Here is an 18105-nt window from a genome sequence, read left to right on the forward strand (position 1 = left end):
ACGAATATCAGGAATTTACTTAAACCAGAGGAGGAGAAGAGAAAGGAAGAAACAGGCCGGGCGCAGTGGCTCACGCCTGTAATCCCAGCACTTTGGGAGGCCGAGGTGGGTGGATCACGAGGTCAGGAGATCGAGACCATCCTGGCTAGCACGGTGAAACCCCTTCTCTACTAAAAATACAAAAAATTAGCCGGGAGCGGTGGCGGGCGCCTGTAGTCCCAGCTACTCGGGAGGCTGAGGCGGGAGAATGCCGTGAACCCGGGAGGCGGAGCTTGCAGTGAGCGGAGATCGCGCCACTGCACTCCAGCCTGGGTGACAGAGCGAGACTCCGTCTCAAAAAAAAAAAAAAAAAAAAGAAACAAATCACCACACTTCATTTTTTCCCAGATGCACTTTTTTTTAATTGTTATTATACTTTAAGTTCTGGGGTACACGTGCAGAACATGCAGTTTTATTACATAGGTATGTGCGTCCCATGGTGGTTTGCTGCACCCATCAACCCATCACTTACATTAGGTATTTCTCCTAATGCCATCCCTCCTCTACACTCCCACCCCGACAGGCCCCAGTGTGTGATGTTTCCCTCCCTGTGTCCATGTGTTCTCACTGTTCGACTCCCACTTATAAGTGAAAACACGTGGTGTTTGGTTTTCTGTTCCTGTGTTAGTTTGCTGAGAATGATGGTTTTCAGCTTCATCCATGTCCCTGCAAAGGACATGAACTCATCCTTTTTTATGGCTGCATAGTATTCCATGGTGTATATGTGCCACATTTTCTTTATCCAGTCTATCAATGATGGACATTTGGGTTGGTTCCAAGTCTTTGCTATTGTGAATAGTGCCACAGTAAACATATGTGTGCATGTGTCTTTATAGTAGAATGATTTATAATCCTGTGGATATATATCCAGTAATGAGATTGCTGGGTCAAATGGTATTTCTAGTTCTAGATCCTTGAGAAAACACCACACCATCCTCCACAATGGTTGAACTAATTTACACTCCCACCAACAGTGTAAAAACATTTCTGTTTCTCCACATCCTCTCTAGCACCAAGATGCACATTTTTTTCCACATCTTTAAATCTCTGAAATAAGGATGTGCCTTACAGTCAATGAACTCTTACAAGTAATTGTCCTGGCCAGGTGGTGGTCACGGCATAGGTGATTGCATGAGCAAATCAGAACTTCATCATACTGTTCACATTGTCATCACTTTAGATGAGATGTGTGCATGGTTATTATCTCAGATGTTAAGTTTAACTGACTTTTACAATGATTTTTGATGTTGTTGTTGTTTTGTTTTGTTTTGTTTTTAGCGGTAGCAAAGTTTATTGTGAAGAGCGAAAGGACAAAGCTTCCCCACGGCACAGAAGGGGACCCGAGCAGGTTACCTGATATTTTTTAAGATTACAACACGATTTAGAATTGAAATAAAGTTTTAGAAATGCCTTAACTAAAATTTTGCTTGCATTTCTCTGTTAACGTAAGAGAATGTTATATTATAAAAATATATGTCCAAAAAAGAGAAATAAGAAAAAAATCTATGTATAAGTAAGTCTAAAAGAATACTTGGCCAGGTGCAGTGGTTCATGCCTATAAATCCAGCACTTTGGGGAGGTTGACGTGAGAAGCTTACTTGAGGTCAAGAGTTTGTGGCCAGCCTGAGTAACACATTGAGACCCCTATCTCTACAAAACATTTAAAAATTAGCCAAGCGTGATGCTGTGTACCTGCAGCCCTAGATACTTGAAAGGCTGAGGTGAAAGGATCAATTGAGCCCAGGAGTTCAAAGTTACAGTGAACTATGATTGCACAACTGCACTCCAGCCAGGTTGACAAAGTAAAACCCTGTCTCTTGAAAAAAAAAGAATACTTTCAGTAAGTATAAAATTTTTGAAAATCTATGTCATAAGAAGGCACTGTGTCATCATTTAATCAGAAAATTTTTTCTTTGTTAAGGGTACATTAAAAAATGGCACATCTTGTAATCACAGTTACCTTAGACTATAGGGAGTCATCCCAGGCTGTAGATCGCAAATCTCTCCTACAGAATTACATGTACAACTGGATGCTGCCACCACTTGGCCTTTCCTAAAAAGTCTATGCTCAGCCGGGCTTAGTGCTCATGCTTGTAATCCCAGCCCTTTGAGAGGTCGAGGCGGGCAGATCATTTGAGGGCAGGAGTTCGAGACCAGCCTGGCTAACATGGTGAAACTCCATCTCTACTAAAATAAAAAATTTGCTGGGCAGGGTGGTGCGTGCCTATTATCCCAGCTACTTGGGAGGCTGAGGCAGGAGAATTGCTTAAACCTGGGAGGTGGAGGTTGCAGTGAGCAGAGGTCGCAGTGAGCTGAGATCGTGCCACTGCACTCCAGCCTGGGCAACAGAGCGAGACTCCATCTCAAAAAAAAAGAGTCCAGTTGCCATCAACATTTCTTCACCTTCGAAATCACGAAGTTTCCCAGTAGAGGAAGAAACAAAGCTGGTAGCTGTCTTCTTAGGATCTAGCCATCTTCCTTTACAGATGCTCTTCAATTTACAATGGGGTTTTGTCCTGATAAACTTACTGTAAATGCAAAATATTCTAAGTGAAAATGCACTTAATACACCTAACCTAGCAAACATCACAGCTTAGCCTAGCTTGAACACATTCAGAAGATTTACATTAGTCTACAGTTGGGCAAAATCATCTCACACAAAGCTTATTTATAATAAAGTGTCGAATACCTCATGTAATTTATTGAATACTGTACTGAAAGAGAAAAACAGAATGGTTGTATAGGTACTCTTTTTCTTTTCTTTCCTTTTTTTGAGATGGAGTCTCACTCTGAAGCCCAGGCTGGAGTGCAATGGCGCAATCTCAGCTCACTGCAACTTCTGCCTCCCGGGTTCAAGCGATTCTCCTGCCTCAGCCTCCCGTGCAGCTAGGATTACAGGCACCCACCATCATGCCCAGCTAATTTTTTTATTTCGTAGAGACAGTGTTTCACCATGTATGCCAGGCTGGTCTTGAACACCTGACCTAGGTGATCCCCCTGCCTAGGCCTCCCAAAGTGCTGGGATTGCAGGCATGAGCCACCTTGCCTGGCCGTCCTATGGGTACCCAGAGTATGGTATCTACTGAATGCGTGTTGCCTTTACAGCATCATAAGTCGAATCACTGTAAGCTGGGAACCGTCTGCACTCTCATCAACCACTTCGATTGTAAGATATTATGGAAACTAAAAGTGAGTTTATCTGACATGAGAACTAATTCTAGGGTATTCACCAATAAAAAATTATATTTATAAACATAGCCCAGATCACCAAAGAATCACTATTTACTGTTGCAGAAAAGAATAATACAGTTTAGAAACACTCCCAATCAGAAGGGTTGAAAGAAACATGGGCTTCAGGTTAGCCGATGAACAGTTAGCTAGACTATTCATCAACTAAACCTGAAACCCATGCCCTGCACTTGCTGGCTCCCTGAAGTTCTGCCATCTCGTATCAAAATTTGGATACTTTGAGACCCTCCCTTAGACATAGCATTATATTAAAATGTACATTTAGCAACATCATTTAAAAGAAATTTTTAAAAATTAAAAGGTGCAGATACCTCTCCATCAGTTTTAAAACTTCACTGCCGGCCAGGCACAGTGTCTTACGCCTATAATCCCAGCACTTTAGGAGGCTGCGGCAGGCGGATCACCTGACGTCAAGAGTTCGAGACCAGCCTAGCTAACATAGTGAAACCTTGTCTCTTCTAAAAATACAAAAATTAGCTGGGCATGGCAGCGGGCGCCTGTAATCCCAGCTACTCAGGAGGCTGAGGCAGGAGAATTGCTTGAACCCAGGAGACAGAGGTTGCAGTGAGCCGGGATTATGCCATTGCACTCCGGCCTGAGTGACAGAGCAAGACTCCATCTCAAAACAAAAACAAAAACAAAAACAAAAAACAAACAACAACACACACACACACACACACACACACACTTACTTCACTGCCATGTCTGGTAAACTGGATAAAGTCAGAATCTTTCCCAACCTTCTCAGAAAAGTGAAATCAAATTCTTCTCAAATCATTCTAGATGAGACATGTCTGGGCCTGGCTTCACATTGATCATGTAGGCAGAAGGCAGCAGAAAGTACAGAGGCATATCCTGTAGTGAACCGGGTTTCTAAATAGATAAAATGGTGAAATTTAATAAATGGTACACCATGTCTTACAAAGTTTTACTCTATTTAATTCTAGCTCCCAAAACTAAATTATGTTAAAGTCATTTCTCATGAAATTTGCTATATCATTCTTGGCTGTTATCCAGAGCCAATTCAAGCATATTACAATATGAAGTGTGTGTACATTTATTTTTTAGCACAGAACAAATGTACACTTGTTAAGATCCACTATATTTACAAGCCAGAATCTCAAACATTTTGACAGAAGTTAAATGCTTATAAAAAGAAAAAAATGGGCTGGACATGGTGGCTCATGCCTGTAATCCCGGCACTTTCTGAGGCTGAGGTGGGTGGATCACCTGAGGTCAGGAGCTTAAGGCCAGCCTGGCCAACATGGTGAAAACCCGTCTCTACTAAAAATACAAAAAATTAGCTGGGCATGGTGGTGGGCACCTGTAATCCCAGCTACTCCGCAGGCTGAGGCAGGAGAACTGCTTGAACCTGGGAGGCAGAGGTTGCAGTGAGCCGAGATTGCGCCACTGCACTCCAGCCTGGGTGACAAGAGAGAAACTCCGTTTCAAAAAAAAAAAGAAAAAGAAAAAAATGCTACCTTACATTCAACACCTTCTCAATATACCCATCAATCTCATATAAAGGTAGAGGCTGCACCAATTATCAACTGTCACCATATGCCACGCATTTTCTTCAAAGTAGAGAATGTTAGTTTTAATACTCTTATTCTGAGAAATTATTTTAAAATAGCTATGTGATGCAGCAATCTTTCACCTTGAGGTACTATCTTACAGTACTGATTTCAAAAATGGTAACTAAAAAAAAGAAATTCAGTGTCAGGCAGCATGAGCTTAGATTATAAGAAAGGAGATGTGTTCAGAGTACTGATGTAAAATCTAGTTATATTTCTGATTTCTAGATAGGAATTAACTCTCTCTGACAATCTTATATTAAAATACAAGCACGTATTAAAATAGGTAAGAATAGCCGGGCGCGGTGGCTCACGCCTGTAATCCTAGCACTTTGGGAGGCCGAGGCGGGCGGATCACAAGGTCAGGAGATCGAGACCATCCTGGCTAACACGGTGAAACCCCGTCTCTACTAAAAATACAAAAATTAGCCGGGCGTGGCGGCGCGTGCCTGTAGTCCCAGCTACTCAGGAGGCTGAGGCAGGAGAATGGCGTGAACCCGGGAGGCGGAGCTTGCCGTGAGCTGAGATCGCGCCACTGCACTCCAGCCTGGGTAACAGAGCGACACTCCGTCTCAAAAAAAAAAAAAAAAAAAAAAAAAAAAATAGTTAAGAATAAACAAGCAAGCTTAGGAATAGTGCTCCCTCCTGTGGCCAAACTTCTTGAAAATCATGGGAAAAGGCATCTCCTGGAATCCTCAGATAGGTCATGGACACAGACCTCAGAGAAGCCCACCTGCCATTGTAGGTGCTGTTTTTAAAAAGGAAAATGGGCCAGGGGACTCATGCCTGCAGTCCCAGCACTTTGGGAGGCCTAGGTGAGCGGATCACAAGGTCAGGAGTTCGAGACCAGCCTGGCCAACGTGGTGAAACCCCATCTCTACTAATAATACAAAAATTAGCCAGGCATGGTGGCGGGTACCTGTAATCCCAGCTGCTCAGGAAGCTGAGGCAGGAGAATCACTTGAGCCCGGGAGGTGGAGGTTGCAGTAAGCCGAGATCCCACCATTGCACTCAGGCCTGGGCGACAGAGCAAGACTCCATCTCAAAAAAAAAAAAAAAGCTCACAAAGTTGGGATTTCATTTTGTGGTAATGGACACAATAAAACAGAACACATTTGAAGTCATAAAAGCCTAAAGAAAAATAAATTTAACTTAGTGCTGGAGTCTACTAACCGTTTTACAAATTTTAATATCTACCATATGTGAAGAAGATGTCTATGAACATTTAAAGGGATATAACTTCTAAAACAAAAGAAATGGTTTTGGGGAGGCCAGGTGCAGTGGTTCACGCCTGTAATCCCGGCACTCTGGGGGGCTGAGGTGGGCAGAACATTTGAGGTTAGGGGTTGGAGACCAGCCTGACCAACATGGTGAAACCCCATCTCTACTAAAAATACAAAAAACTAGCCAGGTGTGGTGGCACACATCTGTAATCTCAGCTACTCAGGAGGCTGAGGCACGAGAATCGCTTGAACCCAGGAGGCAGAGGTTGCAGTGAGACGAGATTGCACCACTTCACTCTAGCCTGAGTGGCAGAGTGAGACTCCATCTAAAAATTAAAAAAAGAAAAAGAAAAAAAAAGAAATGGAATGGTCTTGGGGTTTGTAGATCCTACTCCTTATTATAAAACACAGTGGTTCTCAACCAGAACCACTCCGAAGATAATAGCAATGTCTAGACACATTTCTGGTTGTCACAACTCTGGGAAGGGGTGCTACTGGGACCTAGTGAGTAAAGGTCAGAAATATTGTTAAACAACCTGCAATGCACAGATCACCTCTCATCCCCAGAAAGAATTATCTCGACCAAAATGTCAATAGAACTGAGGTTGAGAAATCCTGATATAAGAATATTCTACAATCATTTTCATGTGCAATCTACAAGCCATAAACTTTATAAATAGTATTTATTAAATTCAAAGCCAAATACATTTTCACTAAAACTCCAGCAATAAAATCAGAAATTCAGGAAATATGATTCTCATGAACTCAGTCTCATGTCTGATTACATTCTTTTAGGCTATTTTGTCTTATGATATACTTACAATGTTTAGCCGTTGTCTTTCAAAGTAGAAAATACAGGCCACATGAGGTGGCTCACACCTATAATCCCAGCACTTTGGGAGGCCGAGGTGGATGGATCACCTGAGGTCCGAAGTTCAAGACCAGCCTGACCAACATGGCAAAACCCTGTCTCTACTAAAAACCCCAAAATTAGCCAAGTGTGGTGGCACATGCCTGTAATCCCGGTACTCAGGAGGCTGAGGCAGGAGAATCATTTGAACCCGGGAGGCGTAGGTTGCAGTGAGTGGAGAGTGTGCCATTGCACTCCAGCCTGGGCAACAAGAGTAAAACTCCATCTCAAAAAAAAAAAAAAAAAAGAAAATACATTTCAGTGTTTTGGTCGATAGGAAGCATGAGATATAAATTCATATATGTATTATTGTCCCGTGGAGAAATGCTAAGAGAGTAAAATTGTTTAAATTAACTCCAGGTGGGTCTAAATGTTTTCATTAGAAAATATGCCTGCTAGCAAAAGTGCTTTGAGAGCAGGAGCAAAGAGAGAACAGATTAACAGACACATTGTCATCCCTCCAGCAACCAAGGAAAAGCAATTATTTTAGGACTGAGATCCCCAGCCTGGGATCCTTGTATCCTTAGGCTCGTGAAAATAAGAAGAGTCTGAAAGCTATTTTCACCATGTCAAAAATCATCTGATAACAATGGAACATTTATCTATAATAAAATAGATTAGTCTCACTAAAATGAAAAAATCAGTGTGTAGACACTTACTACATGGAAGTTCATTTCATCTAATGTAACGTGGCCGGAATTTCTATACCCTCTACAAAAAAAAAAAATACAAACAGTTCTTTAGGTTTAAACAAAAGGTTGCAAACTACTGGCCTGAAGAAACCAAGCCTTTAAGGTGAATAAGTGTGGAAAAGTAAAACCATAATACAATATTGCATCGACTTTGTTTCTCCAGTTTGCTACTTGCAATCTTCATACAGTGTTTGGTATATGATTACAAATGCAAATATTCTGGCTTAAGCCAGAACTTTAAAAAGGAGTAGAACCTCCCCCAAGTTCAGAATGGTGGTGATGGCAGTCAGAAAGCCCCAAGGGAAACAGCAGAGGGACTGTGAGACCAGACTTCTAAAACCATGACAGAGAACCATCCTCCCACATCAAAGCTGAGGATCTGCGTTGGTTTTTATGAAGGAGGCCCATGGGTTGTTTCATTATGGAACTTAATGAAAATTAGAGTGATGGTAACTTCTAACCCCTTTATTACAACCAGCCTAACCATCACTACTCCACCAAGAGAGCCAAAAGCATTGTGGTCTTGGGGTAACTTTACTATTTTATTTGGGCTTACCACCAATTAGGTAATACAGATGGTCTCTGACTTATGGTGGTTTGACTGATGATTTTGCAACTTTATGATGCTGCCAAAGTGATACACAACCAGTAGAAACCATCCTTTGGATTTTGAATGTTGGTCTTTTCCTGGGCTTGTGCTATGCTGTACAATATTCTCTCATGAAGGTGGGCAGCAGAAATGAGTAGAGCTCCCAGTCAGCCAGGTGATCACCAGGATAAGCACCCAATACTCTACAGTGTACTGTGTTGTCCAGTGATTGTGCCCAACCCTAGGCTAATGCACGGGTTCTGAGAATGTTTAAGGTAGGCTAGGCTAAGCTATGATGTTTGGTAGATTAGATATATTAAACACATTTTTGACTTATTATGTATATAGATATATCTCTAGTGACCAGGCGCAGTGGCTCACGCCTGTAATCCCAACACTTTGGGAGGCTGAGACAGGTGTATCACCTGAGCTCAGGAGTTTGAAACCAGTCTGGGCAACAGGATGAAACCTTGTCCCTACTAAAAATACAAAAAATTAGCCGGGTGTGGTGGCACATGCCTGTAATCCCAGCTACTTGGGAGGCTGAGGCACAAGAATCACTTGAATCTAGGAGGTGGAGGTTGCAGTGAGCTGAGATCATGCTACTGTACTCCAGCCAGGGTGACACAGTGAGACTTTGTCTCAAAAAAACAAAACAAAAGATACATCTATAGATAGATATAGATATGTAGATATAGCTATAGATAGACATATAGAGATATAGAGATCAATAGACATATCTAAATGTGTGTAAGTGTATCTATCTATCTATCTATCTATCTATCTATCTATCTATACATATATGTACTTTTTTGGGGTTTTTTTTGAGACAGGACCTTGCTCTGTCACCCAGGCTGGAGTGCTGTGGTACAAGCTTGGCTCACTGCATCCTCAGCTTCCTGGCCTCAAGGGATCCTCCCTCCTCAACCTCTTGAGTAGCTGAGACTACAGGCATGCCACCACACTCAGTAAATTTTATTTTTTATTTTTTGAAAAAGGGTCTCACTATGTTGCCCAGGCTGCTCTCAAACTCCTGGTCTCAAGTAATCCTCCCACCTCAGCCTTCCAAAGTTCTGGAATTACAGGAATAAGCCACTATGCCTGGCCAGATATTTTCAATTTACAATGGGTTTGTCTGGATGTAACTCCATCACAAATTGAGGAGCACCTGGACATACTAAGAGGTGACAAAGGGCCTGCCCTCCTCAATCTCCTTTGATGGCTCCTCCTCCACCTCCGCGGTGTTGTTTGGTGTGCCTTGGGGACTGTCCTGGGCCCCGTTCTCCTCTCTTTCCCTAGGGAATCCCCTGCGTTCCCATGGCCTCCCTTATTATCTATATGCCAAAACTCCTACATTTCTATATCTAGCCTAGACTTACTTTCTTCGCAGGTCTAGACCAATGTACCCAACTGTTGTTTTTTTGTTTTGTTTTGCTTTTGTTTTTGTTTTTTGTTTTTAATTTGCTTGTTTGTTTGAGATGGAGTCTTTGTTGCCCAGGCTGGAGTGTAGTGGCATGATCTCAGCTCACTGCAACCTCTGCCTTCCAGGTTCAAGCAATTCTCCTGCCTCAGCCTCCGGAGTAGCTAGGATTGCAGGTGCCTGCCACCATGCCCAGCTAATTTTTGCATTTTTTGTAGAGACAAGGTTTCCCCATGTTGGCCAGACTGGTCTCAAACTGCTGACCTCAACTGATCCACTCGCCTAGGCCTCTCAAAGTGCTAGGATTACAGATGTTAGCCACCATGCCCAGCCCAGCTGTTTATTCTGTTGGATATTTATGTGGCAATGTTGAACTCACCATGCTCAAAATGGAACTCCCAATCTAAACCATCACTTCCTCCAGGGTTCCCCGATTCAGCACACAGCATCATAATTCAGCATCTTGCTCCTGCTAGAATGATATAATAGGTTTCATCTTTATTTTCTGTTATGAACTGAATTGTGTTCTCCTAAAATCCATATGGTGAAACCCTAACCCCCAGTATCTCAGAATGTAACTGAATTTGGAGATAAGGCCTTTAAAGAGGTAAAGGCCTTATCTCCAAATGGGGTTAACTTTATTAGGGTAGGCAAAATGACTCTATTAGGGTGAGCCCTAATCCAATCTAACTGGTGTCCTTAAAAGAAGAGATTAGGACATGAAGAGATACCAGGGATGTATGCACAGAGAAAACCATGTGAGGACACAGAGAGAATATTGACATCTACAAGCCGAGGAGAGAGGTCTCAAAAGAAACCAACCCTTGATTTTTTAACCTTGATCTTGGACTACTAACTCCCAGAGCTGTGAGAAAATTAATTTATGTTGTTTATACCACCCAGTCTGGGATATTTTGTTATGGCAGCCCTAGCAACCTAATACATCTTCCTCTTATTAATCACCAAGTCCTACCCACTCTACTTCCTAAATATCTCTTTAGTCTAACTTCACCATATCCATTGCACCTGCCCTATCCCAAGCGCTGTCAAATATTTTATGGATGCCTGCTACATGCAGCCTTTCAAAGATCTCTCTGCTTTCACTCTCCCCTCTCTACAATCCAGCCTCCAAAAGGAGGCCAGAGCAATCATTTTAAAATGAATGTAGAATCTTTGCCCCTGGTTTAAAACCCTTCAAGAGTTCCCCATGTCTCAAAGAATGAAATCAAATCTCCTTGCCATGGCTGACAAAGCACGAGACCAGCATGACCTAGTCCCTGCCTACCCCTCTGGCCTTATCTAGAATCACTCCAGCTCCTCACCCACCTTGCTCCAGGCACAACTACCTCCAAAAGCACTAGTCTGCCCACACATTTTTCCCCTGGCTGGAAATTTTTCTTAGTTTCTCCTCTTCATCTGGCTCAGTGTGCCTCACACTGTGGATTAGGTTCCCATCCAGAACCGTTTCATCTCAGAAATGTTGCAGTATGAATATCCTACTCTGACCATAGTCTCCTTAAGGCTTTACACCCACGATGATTATATTCTCCCAGCAGACTCCTCCTGGCTGCTCTTCCTTCTCTACGCAATCAAGATTGTGTAACTGATCATCTGAAACCACTATGACTAGGACTTGGAACATGCAGGACTCATGGGGTGTAATCATAGAAGCCACTTTATTTTTGTCACTTGCAGTCTCTTTAATCTTGCTGAGTGGGGCTAGTCCTTCTCCTGCTTCTTGATAACTTGGGCAGGTTCCATGACTTTTCTGGTCCTTCAGTCCTGTGTTCTACTCTAGTAACTAAGTTACTCAACTCACTAACTTAAAACGTCCAGTCCATATGGTAATTTCAATTCAGTAATTTACAATGTAAGACCTAATATACTAATCAACACTTCAATCCTCATTCAAAGAAAGACTTGGCCCCTCTTTCCTTGTTGGGCTTGGAGAAATTTTGGTGTAGATAGAGATCCTGTGCCAGCTCCCCTATCCCTTGCTGCCACCTTTCTTACTCCATGGCTGCTGTTTCTGACTCTGCTGGGGTGGTAAGGCAAAGTAAGATGAACCAGAAGCTTTCATTGGAAGAAGGCATCATGCCCTCCAGGCAGGGCAGATTATTTTATTTTTTTTATTTTGTTTTTTTATTTTATTTTATTTTATTTTATTTTATTTTATTTATTTTATATTATGTTGTTTTTGAGACAGAGTTTCGCTCTTGTCGCCCAGGCTGGAGTACAATGGCACGATCTTGTCTCACTGCAACCTCCACCTCCCGGGTTCAAGCAATTCTCCTGCCTCAGCCTCCCAAGTAGCTGGGATTACAGGCATGCACCACCATACCCAGCTAATTTTGTATTTTTAGTACAGACGGGATTTCACCATGTTGCCCAGGCTGGTCTCGAACTCTAGACCTCAGGTGATACACCCACCTCGGCCTCCCAAAGTGCTGGGATTACAGGCATGAGCCACCGTGCCCAGCTGGGGCAGATTTTAAAGTGGACTCTCCTTGTGCACAGGTTCACATTGTAAGGAGGTTCTCCAGAGGACTTCTCTTCCGCCCCCACCCCAGGCCCATCTGGTTGCCATTCCCTTGATAAGGGCGGTGCCACTTCGGATCACTTTGAGCTCTGCCCCTTCTTGCCTCTAAGGCCAGATTCCTCACTCCCTGATATGCTGCTCTTTGGGGAAGGATTCTTTTTAAAACAATCCCAGGCTGATATTCTTGTCACATCTGCACTTCAGGCTTTATGTACCTTTAGAGAAAACACAGTTACTTTCCTGATGCAAAGCGTCTATTGCTTGCTCAGGTGTGAGTCTATAAACTCTTCAAGCTCCTAGAGTGGGTCTTAAGAAGCTCCTCTCACTGGGCTTGAAGTTAGTGGGCAAGCACCTCCCTCTACACCTTCTTCCTGATAGTGGAGAGTGGGGAAGTGGGGATCAAGAAAGATAGCTTTTTAGCTCAATGTGCCATGAAGCCAAGAAGGTAAGGAAAGAGATTAAGAAATGTTGAGGCTAGATTGTTATTATATAGATGCAGGCGTCTTCTGGGATTCTGCTATGGCTTGGGATAAAAGGGAAGACAGTGATCCAGGTGTGATACCCTGATGGGTTCTTCCTGCCTGCTGCACAGCCATAATCAATTCACTGAGACTGAGGCATTGCAGTAAAACAAGAGTTTAATTGATGCAAGGTCAGCCACACCAGAGATGAGGTTATTACTTGACCCAGTCTCCCTGAAGGCTCAGAGTCTAGGGTTTTTATGGACAATTTGGTGGGCAGGGGGCTAAGGAACAGGTGCTGCTGATTGGTTGGGGATGAAATCACAGGGGCTGGAAAATGGTCCTCATGCACTGAGTTCTCCTCTAGGTGGAACCACAGGACAGGCTGAGTCATAAGTCATGAATTTGAGTGGGGTCAGTCTGAAAAACATCTCAAAGGGCCAATCTTAGGTTCTACAGTGATGATGTTATCTATAGGAGCAATTGAGAAAGCACAAATCTTGTGATCTCTGGCCACACGACTCCTGAACAGTAAGGGATTATAGAACATATGCCCACATTTTAGCAGAACTCAGACTCCTTCCATAATCCTAATCTTGGGCCTTTCACTAGTCTCATGAAGGTGGTTTCAGCCCCGAAACAAGCAGGAAGGGGGTAGTTTTAGGGTAGGACTATTATCCTTGCTTCAAAGTTAAGCTATAAACCAAATTCCTCCATGGTTAGTTTGGCCTATACCTAAGAACAACCAAGGACAGCTTGGAGGTCAGAAGCAAGATGGAGTCAACTACATCAGATATCTCTTACTGTGATAATCTTTGCAAAGTGGTTTCACAGGTCCCTTTTCCTGTTACTCTATTAAAGCTGCTCCTATGAAGATCACCAATAAGTTCCATAGTGTCATGTCCAATATAGACAATTCTCATTTCTTATTTTACCCATCAGAAAATTTTGACATAACTTATCACTTCTTCATTCATGCAACAGTAGGGACCAAGAGAAACTTCCCCTTCAGCCACTGAAAGTTTGCTAAAAAAATCAACCCACAAAAGGCAGATTGATTGGAGACAAGGCAAATTGTATAAATGTGTACACAGGGAGAATCACAGGGTGATTACACAACCTCCAACAGGGTTAAGAAGCTTATATACCACCCTGGCAAAATAGGCTATGGGAGGGAGTAGAAGAGGAATTCTATTGAGGGGATTACTAGGGAGAATGAATGGATCAGGGAACAGAGATGAACATGAACATTACCCTGTCAAAGGGTGTGTTCAAGCATGGTTACATTCTTGGTTTTTCAGGGAGGAGAAGAGACAGTTGTTTCTTTTAATGGGTCTGGATCTTAGGTTAAAAAAAAACGTTAACTTCATCTTTGGAAGACTCAGTTGGCAGGGGGTGGTGCCAGCGAGACCTTGAGGCTTCTTCAGTTTAACATGTCAAAACATATTTTGGGGTAGCAGTTTCTGAACCCCAACTAAATAACTTTCTTTACTTGGCTTCTAGGATTCCACCCTCTGATTCTATTTCTTTCTTTGTCACTCCTCATACTCTTCTGCTGGATCTATCTCATCTTCTTAACAATTCAATATGAGAGGATCTAGAGCTCAATTGTATGATGACTTTTTCTCTGACTCACTTCTTGGGAGACTTTTTTTTTTTTTTGAGATGGAGTTTTGCTTTCCCCCAGGCTGGAGTGAAGTGGGGCAATCTTGGCCCACTGCAACCTCTGCCCCCCGGGTTCAAGCGATTCTCCTGCCTCAGCCTCCCGAGTAGCCAGGATTATAGGCGCCTGCCACCATACCCCAATAATTTTTATATTTTTAGTAGAGACGGGGTTTCGCCACGTTAGCCAGGCTGGTTTCAAACTCCAGACCTCAGGTGATCCACCAGCCTCGGACTCCCAAAGTGCTAGGATTACAGGGGTGAACCACTGTGCTCGGCCTTCTTGGGAGATCTCTTCCAATCTTGTGGCTTTAAATATTCTATACAGTCTCAAATGTAACTATCTATCTCCAACACCTTCCCTGAATTCCAGGCTGCTTACTTGACATCTACACTCAGATATCTGTCTAGGACATCTCTCGAAGTTAACATTCAAAACCAAATGCCATGCCATAGTTTTTGTTGTTCTTGTTTTTGTTGTTGTTCTTGTTGTTGTTGTTGAGACGGGAGTTTCACTCTTGTTGCCCAGGCTGGAGTGCAATAGTGCGATCTTGGCTCACCGCACCCTCCACCTCCGGGTTCAAGTGATTCTCCTGCCTCGGCCCCCTCAGTAGCTGGGATTACAGACATGCACCGCCACAGCCAGCTAATTTCGTATTTTTAGTAGAGATGGGGTTTCTCCACGTTGGTCAGGCTGGTCTCGATCTCCCAACCTCAGGTGATCCGCACACCTTGGCTTCCCAAAGTGCTGGGATTACAGGTTTGAGCCACAGTTTTCAATTAAAAACTTCTCCTTTCTGGCCAGGCATGGTGGCTCACGCCTGTAATCCCAGCACTTTGGGAGGCCAATGCGGGTGGATCACAAGGTCAGGAGATCGAGACCATCCTGGCTAACACGGTGAAACCCCATCTCTGCTAAAAATACAAAAAATTAGCTGGGCGTGGTGTCAGGCGCCTGTAGTCCCAGCTACTTGGGAGGCTGAGGCAGGAGAATGGCGTGAACCCGGGAGGCGGAGCTTGCAGTGAGCAGAGATCACACCACTGCACTCCAGTCTGGGCGACAGAGCGAGACTTCGTCACAAAAAACAAAACAAACAAAAAAAAAACTGCTCCTTTCCAAAATTCCCTATCTCAGTAAATAGCACCAGCAAGGCCCTGCTGTTCGGGATACACATTTTGGAGCAACATCTATGCCTCTCTTTCTCTTATATCCCATCTGCAAATGTTGTCAACTCAGCCTTCAATATATGGTACCAAGCCCAACTCATCTTCCCCTCTCCACCATCCCCACCTTAGCCCAAACCATCATCACCATCTCTCTGCTTCCAATTGCCTCTCTGTAGTCTCTTTCCCACACAGCAAGAGTGACCCATTTAAACATAAATCAGATTGTTACCTCTGCTCATTACCTCTCTGCTCGAAGTCCTCCAATGGTTCCCACCCTTCTCAGAAAAATCTTTGCCACGAATTACGAGGCTGTACGTCTGGACAGGTTCCAGAGTTTTCCTTAGACTTTGCAAAAGTTATCTTAGAGCTGTCTCATTGTGCTGGGTGCAAATTTTGTTTTAAAGAGAAAGTTATCACATATTTTCTCAAAGAAGCATCTCTGAAGGCATGTAATATGTTTGAAATACTTATCTCATCATTAAAGCTTTAGTAAAATGAAAAATCTACCAGCCATGTTCTCTATACTCAGCGATTTTCCAGACTTCAACGCCCTGGAAGCAATGATTAAAGTTTTTCTTTGCCTTCAATTATCTGAAGGGTTGGGCTGCCCCTCCACACCTGTGGGCATTTCTCATCAGGTAGAATGAGAGACTTGGAAAAGAAAGAGACACACAGACAAAGTATAGAGAAAGAAAAATGGGCCCGGGGGACTGGCGCTCAGCATACAGAGGACCCGCGCCGGCACCGGCCTCTGAGTTCCCCTAGTATTTATTGATCATTATCAGGTGTTTCCTGGAGAGGGGGATGTGGCAGGACAATAGGATGATAGTGGAGAGAAGGTCAGCAGGTAAACACGTGAACAAATGTCTCTGCATCATAAACAAGGTAAAGAAAAAAGTGCTGTGCTTTTGATGTGCATATACATAAACATCTCAATGCCTTAAAGAGCAGTATTGCTGCCAGCATGTCCCACCTCCAGCCCTACGGCGGTTTTCCCCTATCTCAGTAGATGGAATATACAATCGGGCTTTACACTGAGACATTCCATTGCCCAGGGACAAGCAGGAGACAGATGCCTTACTCTTATCTCAAATGCAAAGAGGCGTTCCTTCCTCTTTCACTAATCCTCCTCAGCACAGACCCTTTACGGGTGTCGGGCTGGGGGACGGTCAGGTCTTTCCCCTCCCACGAGGCCATATTTCAGACTATCACATGGGGAGAAACCTTGGACAATACCTGGCTTTCCCAGGCAGAGGTCCCTGCGACCTTCTGCAGTGTTTTGTGTCTCTGGGTACTTGAGATTAGGGAGTGGTGATGACTCTTAACAAGCATGCTGCCTTCGAGCATTTGTTTAACAAAGCACATCCTGCACAGCCCTTAATCATTTAACTCTGAGGTGACATAGCACATGTTTCAGGGAGCACAGGGTTGGGGGTAGGGTTACAGATTAACAGCATCTCAAGGCAGAAGAATTGTTCTTAGTACAGAACAAAATGGAGTCTCTTATGTCTACTTCTTTCTACACAGACACAGTAACAATCTGATCTCTCTTTCTTTTCCCCACATTATCAAGTCAAACATCCTCTCTTCTGTGAAGGCTTCTCTTTGTGCACTGCCCTCCTACTCCATCCCCAGTCCCAGTACCCTGCAGAATAAAATGTTTCTATCTCTGTCTCCTTAGCTTTGTGTCCATACATAGATATTGAAAGGAAGTCTGTGGAACTTGTGTCTGCCTTGTATTACTACTGTGGAAGGGACAATAAATTTATTAACTCATATTTTTAAAATATGCATACATACTGTATTTAACCTAAGACTTTTTTCATATTTTAAAGACTGGAATTGAGATATGTCTTTCAATCTACATGTTTAGAAAGCATAACTTATCAGTTTTTTTTTCTTTCTTGGTGGTACATAAAATAATGGTACCTTAAAATTGATGCTATCTTACATTTTATTAAATATGGAATAGAAATCTTATGTGTCTGTGCTCCTCATTCTTTATAGCAAAAGTTTAATACATGACATCATTCCATATGACAGTTGATTATTTTTGCCACTACTGGGGCTCAAACCATAATACCCCAAAATATGATGTTTTGGCATGCTGAGTCTTTGGGGTTTGTTTGTTTTGAGATGGGAGTCTCACTCTGTCGTACAGGCTGGAATGCAGTACAGGCTGGAATGCAATGGCATGATCTGGGCTCGCTGCAACCTCCACCTCCTGGATTCCAGCAATTCTTATGCCTCAGCCTTACAAGTAGCTGGGATTACAGGCACCTGCAACCACACCCGGCTAATTTTTGTATTTTTAGTAGAGACGGGTTTTGCCATGTTGGCCAGGCTGGTCCTGAACTCCTAACCTCAAGTGGTCCACAACATTGGCCTCCCAAAGTGCTTGGCTCCCAAAGTGCTGGATTACAGGCATGAGGCACCACGCCCGGTGGCATGTTGAGTCTTTGAATTAAAGGAAATTAAAAGGGTCTCAGAAAGAAGCCTAAAAATCAAGGCCTCTCTCTCTCACCTTCCCCCTTCCTTTTGTCTCTCTGATACTCTTACTTTTTCCAAGCACCTGAAGGG

General features: G+C 43.3%; 5 annotated features.

Annotated features, from left to right (window-relative positions):
* Positions 15964-16699: an enhancer, noted in NCBI's record as "OCT4-NANOG-H3K27ac-H3K4me1 hESC enhancer chr6:24400121-24400856 (GRCh37/hg19 assembly coordinates)". NCBI's record gives its function as "activates a minimal SCP1, AML or CMV promoter by ChIP-STARR-seq in primed H9 embryonic stem cells {active_cell/tissue: H9 hESC(primed)}" and the evidence as "EXISTENCE:reporter gene assay evidence [ECO:0000049][PMID:30033119]".
* Positions 15964-16706: a biological region, named in NCBI's record as "OCT4-NANOG-H3K27ac-H3K4me1 hESC enhancer GRCh37_chr6:24400121-24400856".
* Positions 16412-16706: a silencer, noted in NCBI's record as "tiled region #571; K562 Repressive non-DNase unmatched - State 5:Enh". NCBI's record gives its function as "represses a minimal TATA promoter and a strong SV40 promoter by Sharpr-MPRA in K562 cells {active_cell/tissue: K562}" and the evidence as "EXISTENCE:reporter gene assay evidence [ECO:0000049][PMID:27701403]".
* Positions 16700-17435: an enhancer, noted in NCBI's record as "OCT4-NANOG-H3K27ac-H3K4me1 hESC enhancer chr6:24400857-24401592 (GRCh37/hg19 assembly coordinates)". NCBI's record gives its function as "activates a minimal SCP1, AML or CMV promoter by ChIP-STARR-seq in naive and primed H9 embryonic stem cells {active_cell/tissue: H9 hESC(naive and primed)}" and the evidence as "EXISTENCE:reporter gene assay evidence [ECO:0000049][PMID:30033119]".
* Positions 17592-17886: a silencer, noted in NCBI's record as "tiled region #326; HepG2 Repressive non-DNase unmatched - State 3:PromF, and K562 Repressive non-DNase unmatched - State 7:EnhWF". NCBI's record gives its function as "represses a minimal TATA promoter and a strong SV40 promoter by Sharpr-MPRA in HepG2 and K562 cells {active_cell/tissue: HepG2 | K562}" and the evidence as "EXISTENCE:reporter gene assay evidence [ECO:0000049][PMID:27701403]".

The sequence above is a fragment of the Homo sapiens genome, chromosome 6, assembly GCF_000001405.40.
Source record: "Homo sapiens chromosome 6, GRCh38.p14 Primary Assembly".
Taxonomy (NCBI): Eukaryota; Metazoa; Chordata; class Mammalia; order Primates; family Hominidae; genus Homo; species Homo sapiens.